Below are 17416 nucleotides of genomic sequence, written 5' to 3'. Positions count from 1 at the left end.
CTGGGTTACAACATCTTTGAGATCTGTGAAGGTAGTGCTTTGTAAACCTCTGTTGGCCATTTTCCTGGGAGCTACCAAGTATTGGTGAGGCCTGCAGGGAAAAACAATGTGGCATGTTTTAAAGTTGCATTACTTTAAAAAATAAATCTGTGCAAAGTTATAGGCTTATTTGCTCTCTCATGTTCTGTTTTTTCAATTTACTTGCTCTAGGGTATAGGATTTATGATGTGGTTCTGAGTCCGTCTCATGGAATTGAACTATCTGTTGGAGAAAAGCTTGTCTTAAATTGTACAGCAAGAACTGAACTAAATGTGGGGATTGACTTCAACTGGGAATACCCTTCTTCGAAGGTAACGCTAATGATTCAAAGCCAGACCTCCAAATACTTAGATAATAAGCCCCAGTGAAGTTTGCTTGAGAGATAGGGGCCTCTTTGGCCAGATAAAATGTAAGAGCCTTAAACACACACACATACACACCCACTCACACACACATACACACACACACAATTTAAGGGAATTGCAGAACAGATAGCACCCACCAAAAGGTGAAATACCAGGAATTTTGTCCTATTCTGCAATAGCCAGGCTATGAATATTAGTTTTCTCTAGGTGATTACATCTTTCCACATTATGTCATTTCTCTGTTCTCCAAAGTTTTTGATCTACATTCCTTTTAAGGGAATTTCTCTTTAAGAGGTGGCATGAGATACACTGCTCCTTAAACAGTGGTCACATTTACTTGTGTTTCTGCAGTTTATATCCATCTCACTTTCACCACGTGAGGTTTTAAAAATCCTAATTCAGTTGGTTCCATTTATTTCTCCTGAAACAAAATATATTTGTTGTCTGCATGAGGTTAAAAGTTCTGGTGTCCCTGTTTTTAGCATTAAATAATGTTTACCAAAGCCCAGATTTAATTCTGTGTGTTACTAGAAGTTATTGGGTAATGTTATATGCTGTGCTTTGGAAGTTCAGTCAACTCTTTTTTTCAGCATCAGCATAAGAAACTTGTAAACCGAGACCTAAAAACCCAGTCTGGGAGTGAGATGAAGAAATTTTTGAGCACCTTAACTATAGATGGTGTAACCCGGAGTGACCAAGGATTGTACACCTGTGCAGCATCCAGTGGGCTGATGACCAAGAAGAACAGCACATTTGTCAGGGTCCATGGTAAGCTATGGTCTTGGAAATTATTCTGTGCCTTGACAAGTGAGATAATTTAAATAAATTTAGGTCACTTAGTGATTCCTATTTTGTTCATTCAGAAGATAGTTTCTAGTTTTTCTTGTTAGGGAGGCCACATGACCTAGAGGTCAAGAGCATAGCTTTGTAGTCAGGAACTTGGGTTCAAACCTCAACTTTAAAGATGAGATGTGCTGATATACAGTAAGAGTTCATTTAGTATTACTTATTATAGTTATTGCTGCTATTAGGATTGTTACTATGATAAATAGTATTAGCTAAGGTAGTTTTTAAATTTTCATTTTATTGCAAGGCTGAGAGGCCTACTTGAATAAGCATGAGCTTTGCAAACTGGGGAAACATTTAGCAATATACAGTTGACCTGTGAGCAACTCAGGGATTGGGGGAACTCAGGGGAGTTCCCCTAACTTTCCCTCCTCTGCAGTCAAAAATCCATGTATAGGCCGGGCGCGGTGGCTCACGCCTGTAATCCCAACACTTTGGGAGTCTGAGGTGGGTGGATCACCTGAGATCAGGAGTTCGAAACCAGCCTGGTCAACATGGTGGAACCCCATCTCTACTAAAAATCCAAAAAATTAGCCTGGTGTGGTGGTGGGAGCTTGTAATCCCAGCTACTCAGGAGGCTGAGGCAGGAGAATTGCTTGAACCCAGGAGGTGGAGGTTGCAGTGAGCCAAGATCGTGCCATTGTACCCCAGCCTGGGCAACAAGAGTGAAACTCCTTCTCAAAAAAAAAAAAAAAAAAAAAATCAAGGTATAACTTTTGACTTCCACAAAACATAACTAATGGCCTACTGTTGACTGGAAGCCCTACTGATAACATAAACAGTCAATTAACACATATTTTATATGTTATATGTATTATATACTGTATTCTTCCAATAAAGCTAGAGAAAAGAAAATGTTATTAAGAAAATTGTAAGGAAGAGAAAATATATTTACTATTCATTAAGTGTAAGTGGATCATCATAAAGGTCTTCATCCTTGTCTTCACGTTGAGTAGGCTGAGGAAAAGGGGGAAGAGGAGGGGGTGGTTTTGCTGTCTCAGGGGTGGCAGAGGTGGAAGAAAATCTGCTTATAAGTGGACTCATGTAGTTCAAGTTTGTGTTATTTAAGGGTCAACTGTAATTGAACTGGAATTAAATTGAACTGGCCTTGAGAAAATCACCTTAATTTTTTGTTTATTCTCTTTCATTTACATAAATGTCTGAGTTTACATGGTAATTTGTGTGGCATCCTACTTATAAGCCTTGGAAAGGATTTTGGAGTTTATATTATGAGAATGCATCAATACAGTGAAATTTTAAAAATACCTTAGATAATGCTATTTATTAGAGTTGTAATCATAAAAGTGGCAACAACTATAACAAGTATGATTTAGTGAGCACTTACTTTATTAGCTCATCTCATCTTTGAAGCTGAGATTGGAACTCAAGTTCCTGACTACAAAGCTATGCTCTTGACCTCTAGGTCACGTGGCATCCCTAGCAAGAACTTGAAAATTTCTTCTGAATGAACAAAATAGAAATCACTAAGTGTCCTAAATTTATTTAAATTATTTCACTTGCCAAGATGCACTTGTCAAAATACACAGAGAGAGATGTGCTCTGGCTTATGTTTTTATAGAATTACTTTTGTTTTCCAGAATACTTCAGGGAAATAGGGGCAGAAATAAGGAGGTCAGTTGGGAGGCTAATTGCAGTTATCCAAGTGAGAGTTGAGGGGTGGCTTAGACAAGGGTAGTTGAGGTGGAGGTAGTGAGAGGTGATCTGCTTCTGGATATATTTTGAAGGTAGAGTCAACAGGGTCCGCTGATCAATTCATTGGTTGTGGAGTATAAGAGAAAAAGAGTGGAAGATGACTCGAGCGTTAGCATGAGCAACTGAGTAAATGATGGTGTTATTTACTGAGATGGCAAAGATCGAGAAGGCAGTGAGATTTAGGGAAACAGTGTTAGATATGTTTATCTGGAGATGCCTGTTAAACATCCAAGTGGAGATATTTAACATATCAACCCGGAACCCAGAGGAGTCAGGGCAGAAGATAACACATTTAGGAGGTACGTGAATGATACTTTAAACCTGAGGCTAGAGGAAGGTGTAAATAAAGAGGAGGTCTGAGGACTGAGTCCTGGGGCCTCATGGTGGAAGAGGTGTGTGGAGGCTGTCATGGGAGCAGAGGAGAAGGAGCACCCAAGCATCCCTGGGGGACTTAGAGAAAGCTGCACAGAGGAGCAAGTGTTTGAGTTGAGACTTGAGCAATCACTAGGCTTGTGGGAGTGCACTAGCGGGGAGAGAAAAGCAAATGCAAACACAGGAGGTGTGGGAGAAACACGGGAGGTGTGGGAGAAGCTGAAAAGTGACCCACTGAAAGATAGTACAGGAAATCTTGGAACTGCAGCTACTCAGACCCTCAAGGTCTTTGACGTTTCACTTGAAATGAAAAACTAAATCAAATGACCATTTACAGTAAGTTGACCTTTTTTTTTTTTTATTTTCTTCCAGAAAAACCTTTTGTTGCTTTTGGAAGTGGCATGGAATCTCTGGTGGAAGCCACGGTGGGGGAGCGTGTCAGAATCCCTGCGAAGTACCTTGGTTACCCACCCCCAGAAATAAAATGGTAACTACTGGAAATAAATGCAAAGCATCATTTCGTGTGAGAGCAAATCCTTTGACTATACTAATTCCTGAGAATTTTTTTTCATAGGTATAAAAATGGAATACCCCTTGAGTCCAATCACACAATTAAAGCGGGGCATGTACTGACGATTATGGAAGTGAGTGAAAGAGACACAGGAAATTACACTGTCATCCTTACCAATCCCATTTCAAAGGAGAAGCAGAGCCATGTGGTCTCTCTGGTTGTGTATGGTGAGTCCATTCAATTTTCCTCTCTGCCCAAGATTTATTATGATACATTGTCTTCCAAATCAGCCAAACCACCGTTCCTCTGCCTCCTGCTGCTTCACTCATATCATGGCTGGGCCTGCGTACAAAAGTCATCTGGCGTGGTGAAGCTGAAGTGAAACGTAGGACCATGTGCTCTGGCCATGTTTGTTTAAGAGGCCGTGTAAATGAGCTTTGTGGTGGACAAATGCAAGATTAAAGTAGTGATACCCTCGATAGCTAAATGTTGTGAAATAAGAATGCCCACAGGGACAGTTGTCAAGCTAAGTTATACTACCATGTTCCCCTCTCATGGAATTGCCCACCTGGTACACAGATGTGTAAGACCCTTCTCCTTAGATTTTGTGCAAAGCTTCTAGTTTGATGTTGTAGTTGATGTATCAGAGATGTGCAGGCACGTTCCAACTCTGAAGGCTTTTGAAGTTGACACTGTTGGCTTGGTTGGGAGCTTTTCTTTTTTCCTTTTTGACAGGAGTTCAGGATCTGATTTTGAGTCTGTAAAGGAAAGATAGTAAGTTTTTGATGTAAAGATAATTTGAACTTTGTTTTCTGAAACTGAAAGGTACAAATAAGTGTTTGGAATGGAGTGGGGAGAAGGGTGCCATGGTCAAGTGAGTGTGAGAGGTGCTAAGGTGATGTGTAGATGTGTAACAGGTTTCTTTATTGCAGGACTTCGCAGAACCTTTTATATGCTAATGTATATTGGTATTCTCCAGGAGGAGAGACATAGAGTATTCAAGGTTTAACAAACCTATTTGACCAGAGCACCTTTTTTCCCCTGAGCAAATTCATTAATCTCTCACTCCAAACAGTTTGAGAAATGCTTCTCTGTTGTAATTCTTTGTTCCCCCTTCTGGTACGGCATATTAAAACTTCAGGATATTTTCCCATGACATTAAGGTGCTTCCCTACGTGTCCTGATACTCTTCTGTAGGCCGCTGAACTTGGCTTTATTATTTTTTTTCAGGGAATATTTTAAAGATAGGCTGGGTGCCGTGGTTTGCATCTGTAATCCCAGCACTTTGGGAGGCCGAGGCGGATGGATCACCTGAGGTCAGGAGTTCGAGACCAGCCTGGCCAACATGATGAAAACCCGTCTCTACTAAAAATATAAAAATTAGCCAGGCATGGTGGTGGGCACCTGTAATCCCAGCTACTTGGGAGGCTGAGGCAGGAGAATCACTTGAACCCAGGAGGTGGAGGTTGCAGATAGCCGAGATCGCACCATTGTACTCCAGCCTGGTGACAAGAGCAAAACTCCGTCTCAAAAAAAAAGTTAACAGGTTCCAAAAAGGTTGTTTAGAAGCAGCATAGGTGTAGGGGACTGGGGAGAGGAGAAACTGGAAAGTGTATAAGTAGGATGGGAGGAGGAAATGAACAGGAAATAAAAACAAAACACGGACAGCAAATAGCCCATTTCATCAGTTCATGAAGCCACTAAATATTTTATTCACTTTAGCAAATTCTCTGCTATATGAAATAAACATAAAAAAGAAGTCAAGTCTTCAAAGCATAATCTGAGGCTTTAGGTTGACAGTAATAAGGAAATAGTTTTGACTTTGGAGTCAAAAAAGAAAGAAAGGAAAAAGGGAGAGAAGAAAGAAGGAAGTGAGAGAAGGGAGAAGGAAGAAAGGGGAAGAGGGAAAGGGAGTGGAGAGGGAGGGAGGGAGGAAGAGGGAGAGAGAATGAAAAACTCAGATGATGGTGGCAGGAATGCATTCTCTAAAGATTTACACCTTCCTTTAACATGAGGTGGTTTACGTGTTTGGGTTCAGAAGTCAGAGTGTCTAGGTTTGTTCCAGGTTTTGCCGTTCGTTAACTGAGTGACCTTGGGCGAGTCATTTTTTTCTGTTTCATTTTTTTCTCACGTATAAAGCTGTGGACAGTAATAGTGGTTGTGAGGATTAAGTGAATGAATTCATGCAAAGCACTTCAAACAATGCTTGGCACATAATAAATGTATTTACTGTGCTATTTCAGCTGTTTTCTGTAGCCTTTCCCTGATCTCCTAAACTTGAGAGGACAGAGAGAACTATCTCTGTAATACAGATGAGAGGCACAGGATTTCAACACTTCCATAAAGTCATTCAGCTTGTTAGTTTATTATTATTATTAGCTTATTGTCATTTTTATTTTATTTCGTTACTTTATTCCTTTTTTTTTTTTTTGGTAGAGATGGGGTCTCACCATGTGGCCCAGGCTGGTCTTGATCTCCTGGGCTTAAGCGATCCACCTACCTTGGCGTCCCAAAATACTGAGATTACAGGCATAAGCCCCCATGCCTGGCTAGTTGTTATTTTTATGAGTATCACTAGAACTCAGGTCTCTTGTTTCCACATCTAGGTGTTCTTCGAAAAAGAAAGTGGAAGCAAAATCATATGCTTAAAGAAAGTCAGCTTTAGTTGCTAAAATCCTCTATTTCCCATTCTTCAAAGCTGACTGACAATTCAAAAGTTGTTTTTCCCATCTTCAGTCCCACCCCAGATTGGTGAGAAATCTCTAATCTCTCCTGTGGATTCCTACCAGTACGGCACCACTCAAACGCTGACATGTACGGTCTATGCCATTCCTCCCCCGCATCACATCCACTGGTATTGGCAGTTGGAGGAAGAGTGCGCCAACGAGCCCAGGTGAGTAAGGCCACATGCTCTTTGCTTTCCTGCCATCTTGCATTTCTTACAGCTGAGCTATGATATGACTCCATCCTAAATGGAGAAGCCTAAACCAAAAAAAGTTTTCTCTCAAGAGGTAGCCTGAATCTCCATCCATCTTTCTCTGTGTCTTACATTTTAGGGGATGTCTTTGCTTGGAGTATCCTCCTTTGGGGTTAGCTAAGCTCAGCCTTGTTAGGTTAGCCGTGAGGTACACTTCTCCAAACACAGGCTATTTGCTCAGTTTGCTAATTGCCAGTCTTTGGTTTTTCTCCCGATACCAATCGGCTGGTGAATACCACATCCCTCCTTCTTGTGTGTGTGAAGATCCATCTCTCAGAGGAAATGCTGATAGATGAGAGGCAGTGATAGACCCAGCCCCAGTCCTCAGGGTCTCAGGCCCAGCTTATCATGCTCTGACACAAGTCCAGACATCCTTAGGGAAAAACACAACAACAGCAGCCAACCCACCACCACCCTAAGCAGTCCACTTCCTGTTGTTGTTTTTGAAATGGCCACTATGAGCTTCTTCCTCAGCTGCTGATCATTTCCTTCACAGAGACCATGGTCCCAGAGAAATTACTTTAAGGAGCCCAGTGGCTTCTAAGTTTCCTTGCCTTCCTTTGAACTAAATTAACTTGAATTGTCTTGTCGATCCAATTTATGAATGAAGGTTTATTCCCAGAATAGCTGCTTCCCTCCTGTATCCTGAATGAATCTACCTAGAACCTTTTCCTTCATTGTCAATGCCTATTTTTAATTGGCGCCAAGTCTTGTACCATGGTAGGCTGCGTTGGAAGTTATTTCTAAGAACAGAATAACCAAAGTCTGAATCTTTTCCTTACTCTTGACTCTAATTAAAGAAAAATTAAATCATAATATGCGCTGTTATCTCTTTCTTATAGCCAAGCTGTCTCAGTGACAAACCCATACCCTTGTGAAGAATGGAGAAGTGTGGAGGACTTCCAGGGAGGAAATAAAATTGAAGTTAATAAAAATCAATTTGCTCTAATTGAAGGAAAAAACAAAGTGAGTTTGAAGTTTTAAAATTTGAAAATCTCTCTCTCTTTAATGGAAGGATGGTACAATAATATGTGAGGCATATTGGAGATTAATAATCAAATAGTCTGGATGATTAAATAGAGCGTATTAAGTCACTTTGAAAATACCATTGACTTTTAGCAGTACCATTAACTTATTAATAGCTTATCAGAGAAAAATAAAAACATCTATGACATTAAATCTATGCATCTGTGTAGGGTGATTCTGATTTTATAAACATGAGAATGAAAAAATGTGTATCATATCATATTAAAACACATCATTAGTTTCATGGCTTCCAAAGCCCTTTTTATATAATGTGTGAGCTCCACAGCAGCATAATTATACAAATTGAGTAAATATCCCAAACCTAAAAACCCCAAATCCAAAATGCTCCAGATTCTGAACCTTTTTGAGTGCCGACATGGTGCTCAAAGGAAACGCTCGTTGGAGCATTTTGGATTTTCAGATTAGGGATGCTCAACTGGTAAGTATACAATGCAAATATTCCAAAATCCAAAAAAAAAAATCCAAAATCCAAACCACTTTTGGTCCCAAGCGTTTTGAGTAAGGGATACTCAACCTGCAATTGCATAAATTTGAGCGTGTCCAACCGCTGCAGAAGTGGGAATGGCATAGGCAGGTTGGAGTGATTGTGGAGACTGCTGGACTGAGTGCTTGTGCACAAACAGCCGCGTTGTTTATGGCCTGGGATTTGTTTTTTCCCCGCACAGACTGTAAGTACCCTTGTTATCCAAGCGGCAAATGTGTCAGCTTTGTACAAATGTGAAGCGGTCAACAAAGTCGGGAGAGGAGAGAGGGTGATCTCCTTCCACGTGACCAGTAAGTACTCTTCTCTGGAGGTTTGGGTTGGATCACTCACACAGTGGGTACTAAGCTATGTAATTCCCTGTTGTTTTTGCCATTCATGTGAGTGGCATGGCATTTAGGAAAGAGGACTTGGATTGATCATTGATGCTTTCATTCATAAATTACAACTTCTCAGGTATCTCCTGGGCTTATGTGAAGTCAGTGCGTCTAACTACACTGGAGAGAGAATGGTTTCACAGATGCTTTAAACCACAAGCTCTGTGTGGTATTTACATCTCAGTCTTCAGAGTCTGGCACAGTGCCTGGCTTATTGAGCTTCAGTACATATTGGTGGGCTTGCTGTGGAACAGTTGATGAGGGTGGGCTTTATGGAGGCAATCAGAAGGACATAGGAGCAGTGCCCTCCCAATGCTGCCGATTTTGCCTGTGCATCTTAGTTTTATGGATAAGCTTTAGCTGATTGTGCTGAATGGAATATTATAGCCAGGGCTAATTCATTGGCATAAATGTAGCTTTCATATCATTGAGTGTTAGTGTTAATGAAGACCTAATTTTAAAATTCTGTTAGAATTAGAGATTTTGCTTTGGATTTTTAATATATTAAACATTGCGTAGAGCTCATAGTGGAGATGTGGTAAATATCTGAGGAATTCGTTTACATTTTCAAGTAATGTGTTTGGCCAAATAAGATATTTTGGGACCTGAATTGTCTAGTTTGTTTGTCAAGTTGTAGTACATCACCTGGAACGGATAGAGCTTCATTTCTTTTGGTACTTTGTAGTAGTCTGAAAGCAGCAAGATGATAGTGAGCTGTACCAAGTTAAATCACCATTCAATAACTATGGCCTCTTCATTTTAGGGGGTCCTGAAATTACTTTGCAACCTGACATGCAGCCCACTGAGCAGGAGAGCGTGTCTTTGTGGTGCACTGCAGACAGATCTACGTTTGAGAACCTCACATGGTACAAGCTTGGCCCACAGCCTCTGCCAATCCATGTGGGAGAGTTGCCCACACCTGTTTGCAAGAACTTGGATACTCTTTGGAAATTGAATGCCACCATGTTCTCTAATAGCACAAATGACATTTTGATCATGGAGCTTAAGAATGCATCCTTGCAGGACCAAGGAGACTATGTCTGCCTTGCTCAAGACAGGAAGACCAAGAAAAGACATTGCGTGGTCAGGCAGCTCACAGTCCTAGGTAGGGAGACAATTCTGGATCATTGTGCAGAGGCAGTTGGAATGCCTTAAATGTAGTGCAATTCAGGTGCTATGCAAAGATTACTGTCCTCTAGGAGATTATGTTGTAAACTGGTGCACACTTCTTCACCGAAAGTCCTTGAGGAAGAAAGAAGCTAATAATAATGAAATGATATATCGAAAGGAGAAAATAACAAAACCTGATGATGGAGTAATTCACTAGTATATGCAAGGGATATTAGCTTGAACCAGGGAAACTTCTGCCTTATCTTGGGCATCCATTTATTTAAATAGACAAATATTTGTGGAATGCCTGCTATGAGCTAGGAGAGTGTCAGAAATTCACAGTGGTAAACATGAAGGAAAGGAGGAGAACATAGGCAACCACTGGGAAGTCACAGCACAGTGAGGTCTCTGTGTCCATGAGAACAGGAATTGTTCTCTGTTTTGCTCCCTGCTATAGCTCTAGTCATAGAGCATAGCAGCATATACTAACTGCTCAATAAGGCACCTGCTGCATGAAGAGTGGGATGATGGGCTGCGTTTAAGACCTAGAAGACTCCATGGGAAGGAAGCTACATTCACTGTCTGTACCTCTGGGTCATCCCACATGATCCAGCGTAGCCCAAGGTCAATGGGACGATCACTTCAGTGAGCAGATAGCTCTGTAAATTCCTCCATAGAGGCACTGTCTACCCCTTGTCTAACCTCATGCCTTGTGCAAAAGCTGGGCAGCCATGGCTTTGTCTGTGGGAAAATCAGGCAAATTTGGGGAGCGTCTCTTTGTGCCACTTCTCTCCATTTTCTCCTCTTGTGGTGTCCCTTTCCAATTCCTAGGATATATGTGCCCTCTGTTTTTTTTTTACTGTTAGGAAGGAAATTGCCCAAGTAAATTCATCTATACCACAGTTTTAGAGGGTAACGTCTTCATCAGAGGCCTTGGCGTATTTGAAGAGGCACCTTCTGACAGACACTAGCATAAAGTTCGCTAGTTTTAAGACTCAGGTGTCATAATAAGAGATACTTTGGGGTCAAGTCATCCCCAGCATCCTTCAAGTCACACCACATAGATCACATGGATTTTCTGTTGGCTTGTCTGGCTTCAAGGTTATGGCAGAATTGAGAAAGAGATGTGAAGTAGGCTCCTGGCCTAGCTGTGCCCAGAAAATATGTGCTCGCAGTTAGCTGCTTTGCTTCCCTAAGGACTCCTAACTTGTTTTCCTAAAACCTATTCTTAGAAATAGGCTAGAATCCAGTACATTTGCTTAGACTTCAATGTAGTACGCTGTTGAGGTAATCTCATTTTGCTAAGTGTTGACGTGGATTTTTTCAGCATGATTCCTTTTGATGTTCAGTTGGTTGGGACAAGATATTTCCACAGCACTTTGATGATCTGAAGAAAGAATAAATCTAAAGTGTTCTTGTACACTTAAACAAATACTCATGGGCTTCATTTTCTTTAAATCCAAGACTTCCCTTAGGGTATTGTTGTTTTGTTTGTGTTTTAGTGGAAATAGCACTGAACTGGTCTTTTAGCCTCACCAGATTCTGTAAACAGTTCAACTGTTTACTTAGTTGCAGGGACATGGACAAGTGGTTTAATGTCGCTGAACATCATTTATTTCATCTGTGAGATAACGCTAACAGTCCTATTCTGCTCATTACATAAGATCACTAGTGAGGAACACAAATTGTGTAAACAAGTTTTATAAGAATTGCCAAATAAATGTAAGGCATTATTGGTTGAATGATACTAAAATTTGGCACTTCCAAGAGAAATTTGAAGGGATTCTAGGGTATTATTGACTAGAATCTTCATGGGAGGGAAGTTTTCACCTGGGGAGGCTGTGTCTAATTAGAGGAAAAATCCATAAAGGTGACCCTGAACCTTTCTTTTGTGATGGGATTACCAGCTAGTATCACTAATATGAATGTTAAAAGCCATTAATCTGTTTGCAGTGTCCTGACTGACTTGTTTCATTTAACTTTACCCAGTGACCAGTGTATTTTCCCAGAAGTTAATATATCAACAAGTTCCTTTTTACTAAATTTAAACTGTTTAAAAGTTTGCTGATACCAGAACCATTTCAAAAGTTATAATTCCATGTTCTGTGATTTTCTTTTTGTGTGTCTAGAGCGTGTGGCACCCACGATCACAGGAAACCTGGAGAATCAGACGACAAGTATTGGGGAAAGCATCGAAGTCTCATGCACGGCATCTGGGAATCCCCCTCCACAGATCATGTGGTTTAAAGATAATGAGACCCTTGTAGAAGACTCAGGTAAATAGAATTTGGCTATCACTCTTGGGTTGCAGAACTTTCCCAGGGATGTTATCTAAAAAGCCATATTATTTCTTGATGTAATGTAGAAAAAAAGCAGTATTGGTGTCCATGACCTGGCTCATTTCACAGACTTAGAATTGGAGTATGGGGCCCTGTTGAATTTTCATGAAAGCCATATAGGAGATTAGTCAGCAGTAGATCCCATGTGACTCTACAGAGTTAGATAATAGAACAAGATGAAGGGCAGCATTTATATTTTCTAAATTTCCCTGAAAAACTTCACAGACTACATCATCATAAATGAGAATGATCGTTTTCTTCCTCTGTTAGGCATTGTATTGAAGGATGGGAACCGGAACCTCACTATCCGCAGAGTGAGGAAGGAGGACGAAGGCCTCTACACCTGCCAGGCATGCAGTGTTCTTGGCTGTGCAAAAGTGGAGGCATTTTTCATAATAGAAGGTCAGTGGGATAAAAAAAAATGTGGTACATATACACCATGGAATGCTATGCAGCCGTAAAAAGGAATCTGATCATGTCCTTTGCAGCTGCATGGATGGAGCTGGAAGCCATTATCCTCAGCAAACTAACACAGGAACAGAAAACCAAACGCCACACATTCTCACTTATAAGTGGGAGCTGAACAATGTGAACACATAGACACAGGGAAGGGAACAACACACACTGGGGCCTACTGTGGGTTGGGGAGAAGGAGAGCATCAGGAAAAATAGCTAATGCATGCTGGGCTTAATACCTAGGAGATGGATTAATAGGTGCAGCAAATCACCATGGCACATGTTTACCTGTGTAACAAACCTGAGCATTCTGCACATGTATCCCGGAACTTAAAAGAAAAAAAGAAGGTCAGTGGGAAGTCATAGATACATCCTGTGGTTTTTGAAGATTAGTTTGTATCTTATAGACACACATTCACTTTGAATAGGGCAACGACAGATGATTTTTAATATTCTTTGTACTTTGTAAATTTTCTCAGTGAGTATGTATTCTTTTAACCAGCAAACATAATTAATGTTGTTATAATTCTGCTTGCATCACATTTCCTATTCCTGCAGTTCTTATTGTGGAAAAATTCTTAATCAGGCAGGATGAATAGCCTCTTCTCCCTGATTCTGTCTTTGTTTGAATGGCTTGATTAACTTATAGAAATGATGCCTTTATATTTATTTGGAAAAACATTAGAATTGCTGCCTAATCATGGCAGTCAATGCTATCCAGATAGTCACAAGGATTCCGAGTTTTAATTGGACTAGAGATAATTAAGATTCACTTGTGAACAATAGACCATTGCTCTTCTGACATGGAAAATTTTTGGTTTTTATCTCAATACGTGTGTATGCAGAAGTGATGTGAAATCTGTCATTTTCTTAGCTAGGAAAAGTAATTTGTGGCAGAATATTTTATCTTAAGAAGTATATTCCTATGGCTTTTTTTTTTATAGCCCACCAGGGAAAGAATAAAACTGTGTTGTGGGGTAAAAGAATGGTATGCAAGGGTAAGAAAGAAGTATGGTGATAGAAGGGATCGATGGATTTCTATGAACTCATCCTAACTTGTCTCTCAAAGTCTAGATTTTGGTCCCTTTACTCTGCCAAATCTATGATGCCAAGTATTGCATCGAGATATGTTGACATATTTTCAAATGTATAAGCTTATTAGCATTTCATAAACTACACTTGCAAATAAAGATTTCAAAGACCATGGCGGTTTTGTCATTTCCAAAGTGATTCATGTTTTAGGGCAAATCCGCAGAATGACGTCTAGATTGTCTCTGATGCTCTGCATTACCTCTTGTTGGTGGCCTGCAGCTGGTTACAGATGCCTAACTAGGTAACACTGGCACAGAGATTATAGTTACTTCTTACCTGGAGTGAATGCTAAGAAAGGCAGAGCTAGATATTTAATACTCCTGCTGGGTTCCCAAATGTTATGCGAGAATATTAATATACAAACACATAGAAAACAGACTCTTTGAACTTTTTATCCTCTATGTTCAACTGGACTTTTAAATCTGTGTGTATAAATAGAGAATTACTTCCCTAGGACCACCAGAGAAACAAAATTTACTCCAAGCATAATTGTGCTTGTCTCTCAATGGTTAAGTTAACTTTTATTTTGCAAACCAATTTGTTACTTATTTTGCAAACCAGTTTCTTACTTGTCTTCTTCTCTCTTGAGGCCGTAGTGGGCCATCCGCACAGCTTGTGGCCCGGTTTGATTCTCCTTGCACTCTTCTGATGGGAGGCCCCAAGTGATGACTGCTTCCTTATCATCTCTTTGCTAATCACTCTTAGTGGAAAGCCTGTTTCTGTATTTTGTTTCTTCCACTCAGAGCTGTCCTCTGAAGCCCTGAGCATCTGCAGCTTTGCTTGCTGACTTCTAGTTTCCTCTTCTCTTTCCTTTCATGAGTGATTTGAAACTCCCATTACCAGGCCATGCGTGATGTGCTCATCTTGGCTCTTCCTCTTCTCCTCACTCAGACTCCTGCCACAAGGGATGGGGTAGTGTATGTAATGGTTAGTTCATGTTGGACAGGCCTCTTTATCTCTTGACTGAACCACTGACTAGCTGTGTGCCCTCAGTCAAGTAGCTTAAGCTCTCTGGTCTTCTGTTTCTTCATCTGAAAACTGAGAGTTGTTGAGGAGATTAAGTGGAATGGCATATTTAAAGTGATGAGTGCATAGTAGATACATGGTCATTAGTAACTCTCAGGTCAAAAAATTTTGTTTATTTCCCTACTTGGTTTCTTATGTGATCCTTTTGCAAACTCTGCACAGATCAAAATATTGACTATCAGTTTAAAAGAAGACTTTTGTTTTCCTCAAATAGAAATATTTTTTTTTCTCTGTAGAGAATGATCTGTTTTCTTTCCATCAAAGACTGCTCTTCCTCTAAACACTTTCTATGTTTGGCTTTTAAGACATTACTACTTCTATGCTTAATTACTTAAGAATTTTATTGTTGTAAGTTTACATGAGCAATGTTTTGCAAGCTTTAAATTTTCCATTAACAATTCTGTAGGCCAGGTGTGGTGGCTTATGCCTGTAATCCCTGCACTTTGGGAGGCCAAGGCAGGGGGGATGGCTAGAGGCCAGGAGTTCGAGACTAGCCTGGGCAATGTAGTGAGACCCTGTCTCTACAGAAAATAAAAGAAAAATTAGCTGGGCTTGGTGGTATGCACCTGTAGTCCCAGCTACTCGGGAGGCTGAGGGGGGAGAATCGCTTGAGCCTAGGAATTGGAGGCTGCAATAAGCTATGATTGTGTCATGGTACTCCAGCCTGGAACATAGAAAGAAACCCTGTCTCTAAAAATAAATAAATAAATAAATAAATAAATAAATAAATAAATAAATAAATTAAATTCAAAAAAAGAATTCTGTAGACTCCATTCAAGTTACGGGTGTGTAACTGTTGTCCTCTAGGATTTTTCCAAGTTGGTAAGCTTGGGATTTTGCTTTAGTGCTAAAATTTGTCATCTTACAAACAAAAAGTATAAGTTTCCAACTGTTGATACTCATTCAATTGTGTCTTTCCAGGTGCCCAGGAAAAGACGAACTTGGAAATCATTATTCTAGTAGGCACGGCGGTGATTGCCATGTTCTTCTGGCTACTTCTTGTCATCATCCTACGGACCGTTAAGCGGGTAAAAAAATAATTTCCCTTCTGCCCATGCACATTGGTTTTCATGATTAATGAAAACTGACTGGGGTTCTTTGAGTTGTTTCTTCCCATTGTTATTGGCTCAATGGGCACATTTTTATTTCAATACAATAACGTTCCTGCCCACTTTCTTTTGGCTGGATCTCAGGGATTTAATTGATAGAAGCCACTAGAGAGGAAAAGGGCTTGGACTGTCTAGTGTAATTAAGCTTTAAAACCTTAATTCTGAGCTCCTTTGGGGGACAAGGGAAACTAGAAGCAGGGTTATAATAGGACCACTCTCAAACTCCATGAGTTTTATTGGAAAATGAGACAGGAATGAGGCTCCAATAAACAGCAATAACAAGCACACAAAACAACAGCCAAACAACAGTGTGTTTATGACTGGAAGGATTGATGCTTTCCAGGCCAATGGAGGGGAACTGAAGACAGGCTACTTGTCCATCGTCATGGATCCAGATGAACTCCCATTGGATGAACATTGTGAACGACTGCCTTATGATGCCAGCAAATGGGAATTCCCCAGAGACCGGCTGAAGCTAGGTGCATTTTCAATTGCTATTAATTTGATATTGTGTTTACCAGGCCATCTCTTCCTCCATTAGAATGATGACAAATGTGGTGTATTCAGATGTTGGATTCTGGTTTAGAAATATTAATTCCATTTCTTGAATTTGTATAATCATTCATATAGCCACTTAGAGGTAGGGTCCCTATGTAATCATCCAAAGCAGGACATTTGGAGAGTGAAGGGGGAGTTATTAAATAATTAAGCCAGGACAAAGGAGTAAACTGGACTATCCATGTTAAATTGGGATGTATGGTCACCCTATCTAGTTGATGTCTCTGCGTATCACTTTGGTTGTATAGTAATCCAAGTCTGTTTTCTTGTTGCTGTTGTTGTTGACTCTAGGTAAGCCTCTTGGCCGTGGTGCCTTTGGCCAAGTGATTGAAGCAGATGCCTTTGGAATTGACAAGACAGCAACTTGCAGGACAGTAGCAGTCAAAATGTTGAAAGGTAAAAGCAAAATTATGTGGTGATCTATCTTTCTGTTTTATCTAGTCTTTAAATATGTTGCAAGGCTTGTATCAGTAGCTTTGTGCTTATGTGGGCCTACTAGCCACACATGCAGTCAGCCTAAATAATGCCCTTGTGCAAATTGGAAAAAGGATCCTCCTTTGTAGCTTTATGCCAGGATGCATGGTCTGGCAAGCAAAGTTGGGAATGGCTTTCACCTTCTTGCCTGGTTACCCTCGTGCAGGGCTCAGCCAACACAGTTGTACTTAGTGGTTCTGGGTACAGGGAAAAAGGACTGTGGTTATATTAAAATTGTTTCTTAATATATTGTGGAATCAGATAATTATAGACCATCTAGAGACATGGAAAGGAAGATAGTGAAATACAAAAATAGCATGTTCTCCAGAATTGGAATATGTAAAAGATGTTCATATGTAAAAGATAATTTGCAAAACAAGAATGGTTGTGTTAGAAAAAAATATAATGGGTTATATTTTTTAAATTAAAAGCTTTATAAATAATTGTTAATTCTAATAGTAACGGAATTCTGGTCTGGCCATTTTCATTTTAGGAGGTTAGACAGTAAAGCTTCTTTCTTCAAT

General features: G+C 40.2%; 1 protein-coding gene across 1 annotated transcript in view; it reads left to right on the top strand.

Moving 5' to 3' along the window:
• The window catches only part of KDR (kinase insert domain receptor), a 47115-nt gene that overhangs the window by 11120 nt on the left and 18579 nt on the right, over positions 1-17416 (top strand). The window contains exons 6-18 of the mRNA NM_002253.4: positions 211-350; positions 995-1172; positions 3708-3822; positions 3910-4073; positions 6583-6739; positions 7666-7789; positions 8536-8644; positions 9492-9833; positions 11968-12114; positions 12448-12579; positions 15673-15779; positions 16204-16339; positions 16710-16814. Of these exons, the coding sequence (NP_002244.1) occupies positions 211-350; positions 995-1172; positions 3708-3822; positions 3910-4073; positions 6583-6739; positions 7666-7789; positions 8536-8644; positions 9492-9833; positions 11968-12114; positions 12448-12579; positions 15673-15779; positions 16204-16339; positions 16710-16814 (1956 nt within the window). The remainder of the gene's footprint in view (positions 1-210; positions 351-994; positions 1173-3707; positions 3823-3909; positions 4074-6582; positions 6740-7665; positions 7790-8535; positions 8645-9491; positions 9834-11967; positions 12115-12447; positions 12580-15672; positions 15780-16203; positions 16340-16709; positions 16815-17416) is intronic.

The sequence above is a fragment of the Homo sapiens genome, chromosome 4, assembly GCF_000001405.40.
Source record: "Homo sapiens chromosome 4, GRCh38.p14 Primary Assembly".
NCBI classification, from domain to species: Eukaryota; Metazoa; Chordata; class Mammalia; order Primates; family Hominidae; genus Homo; species Homo sapiens.
Note: the sequence above shows the minus strand (reverse complement) of the source record. Positions and strands in the feature narration are given on the sequence as shown.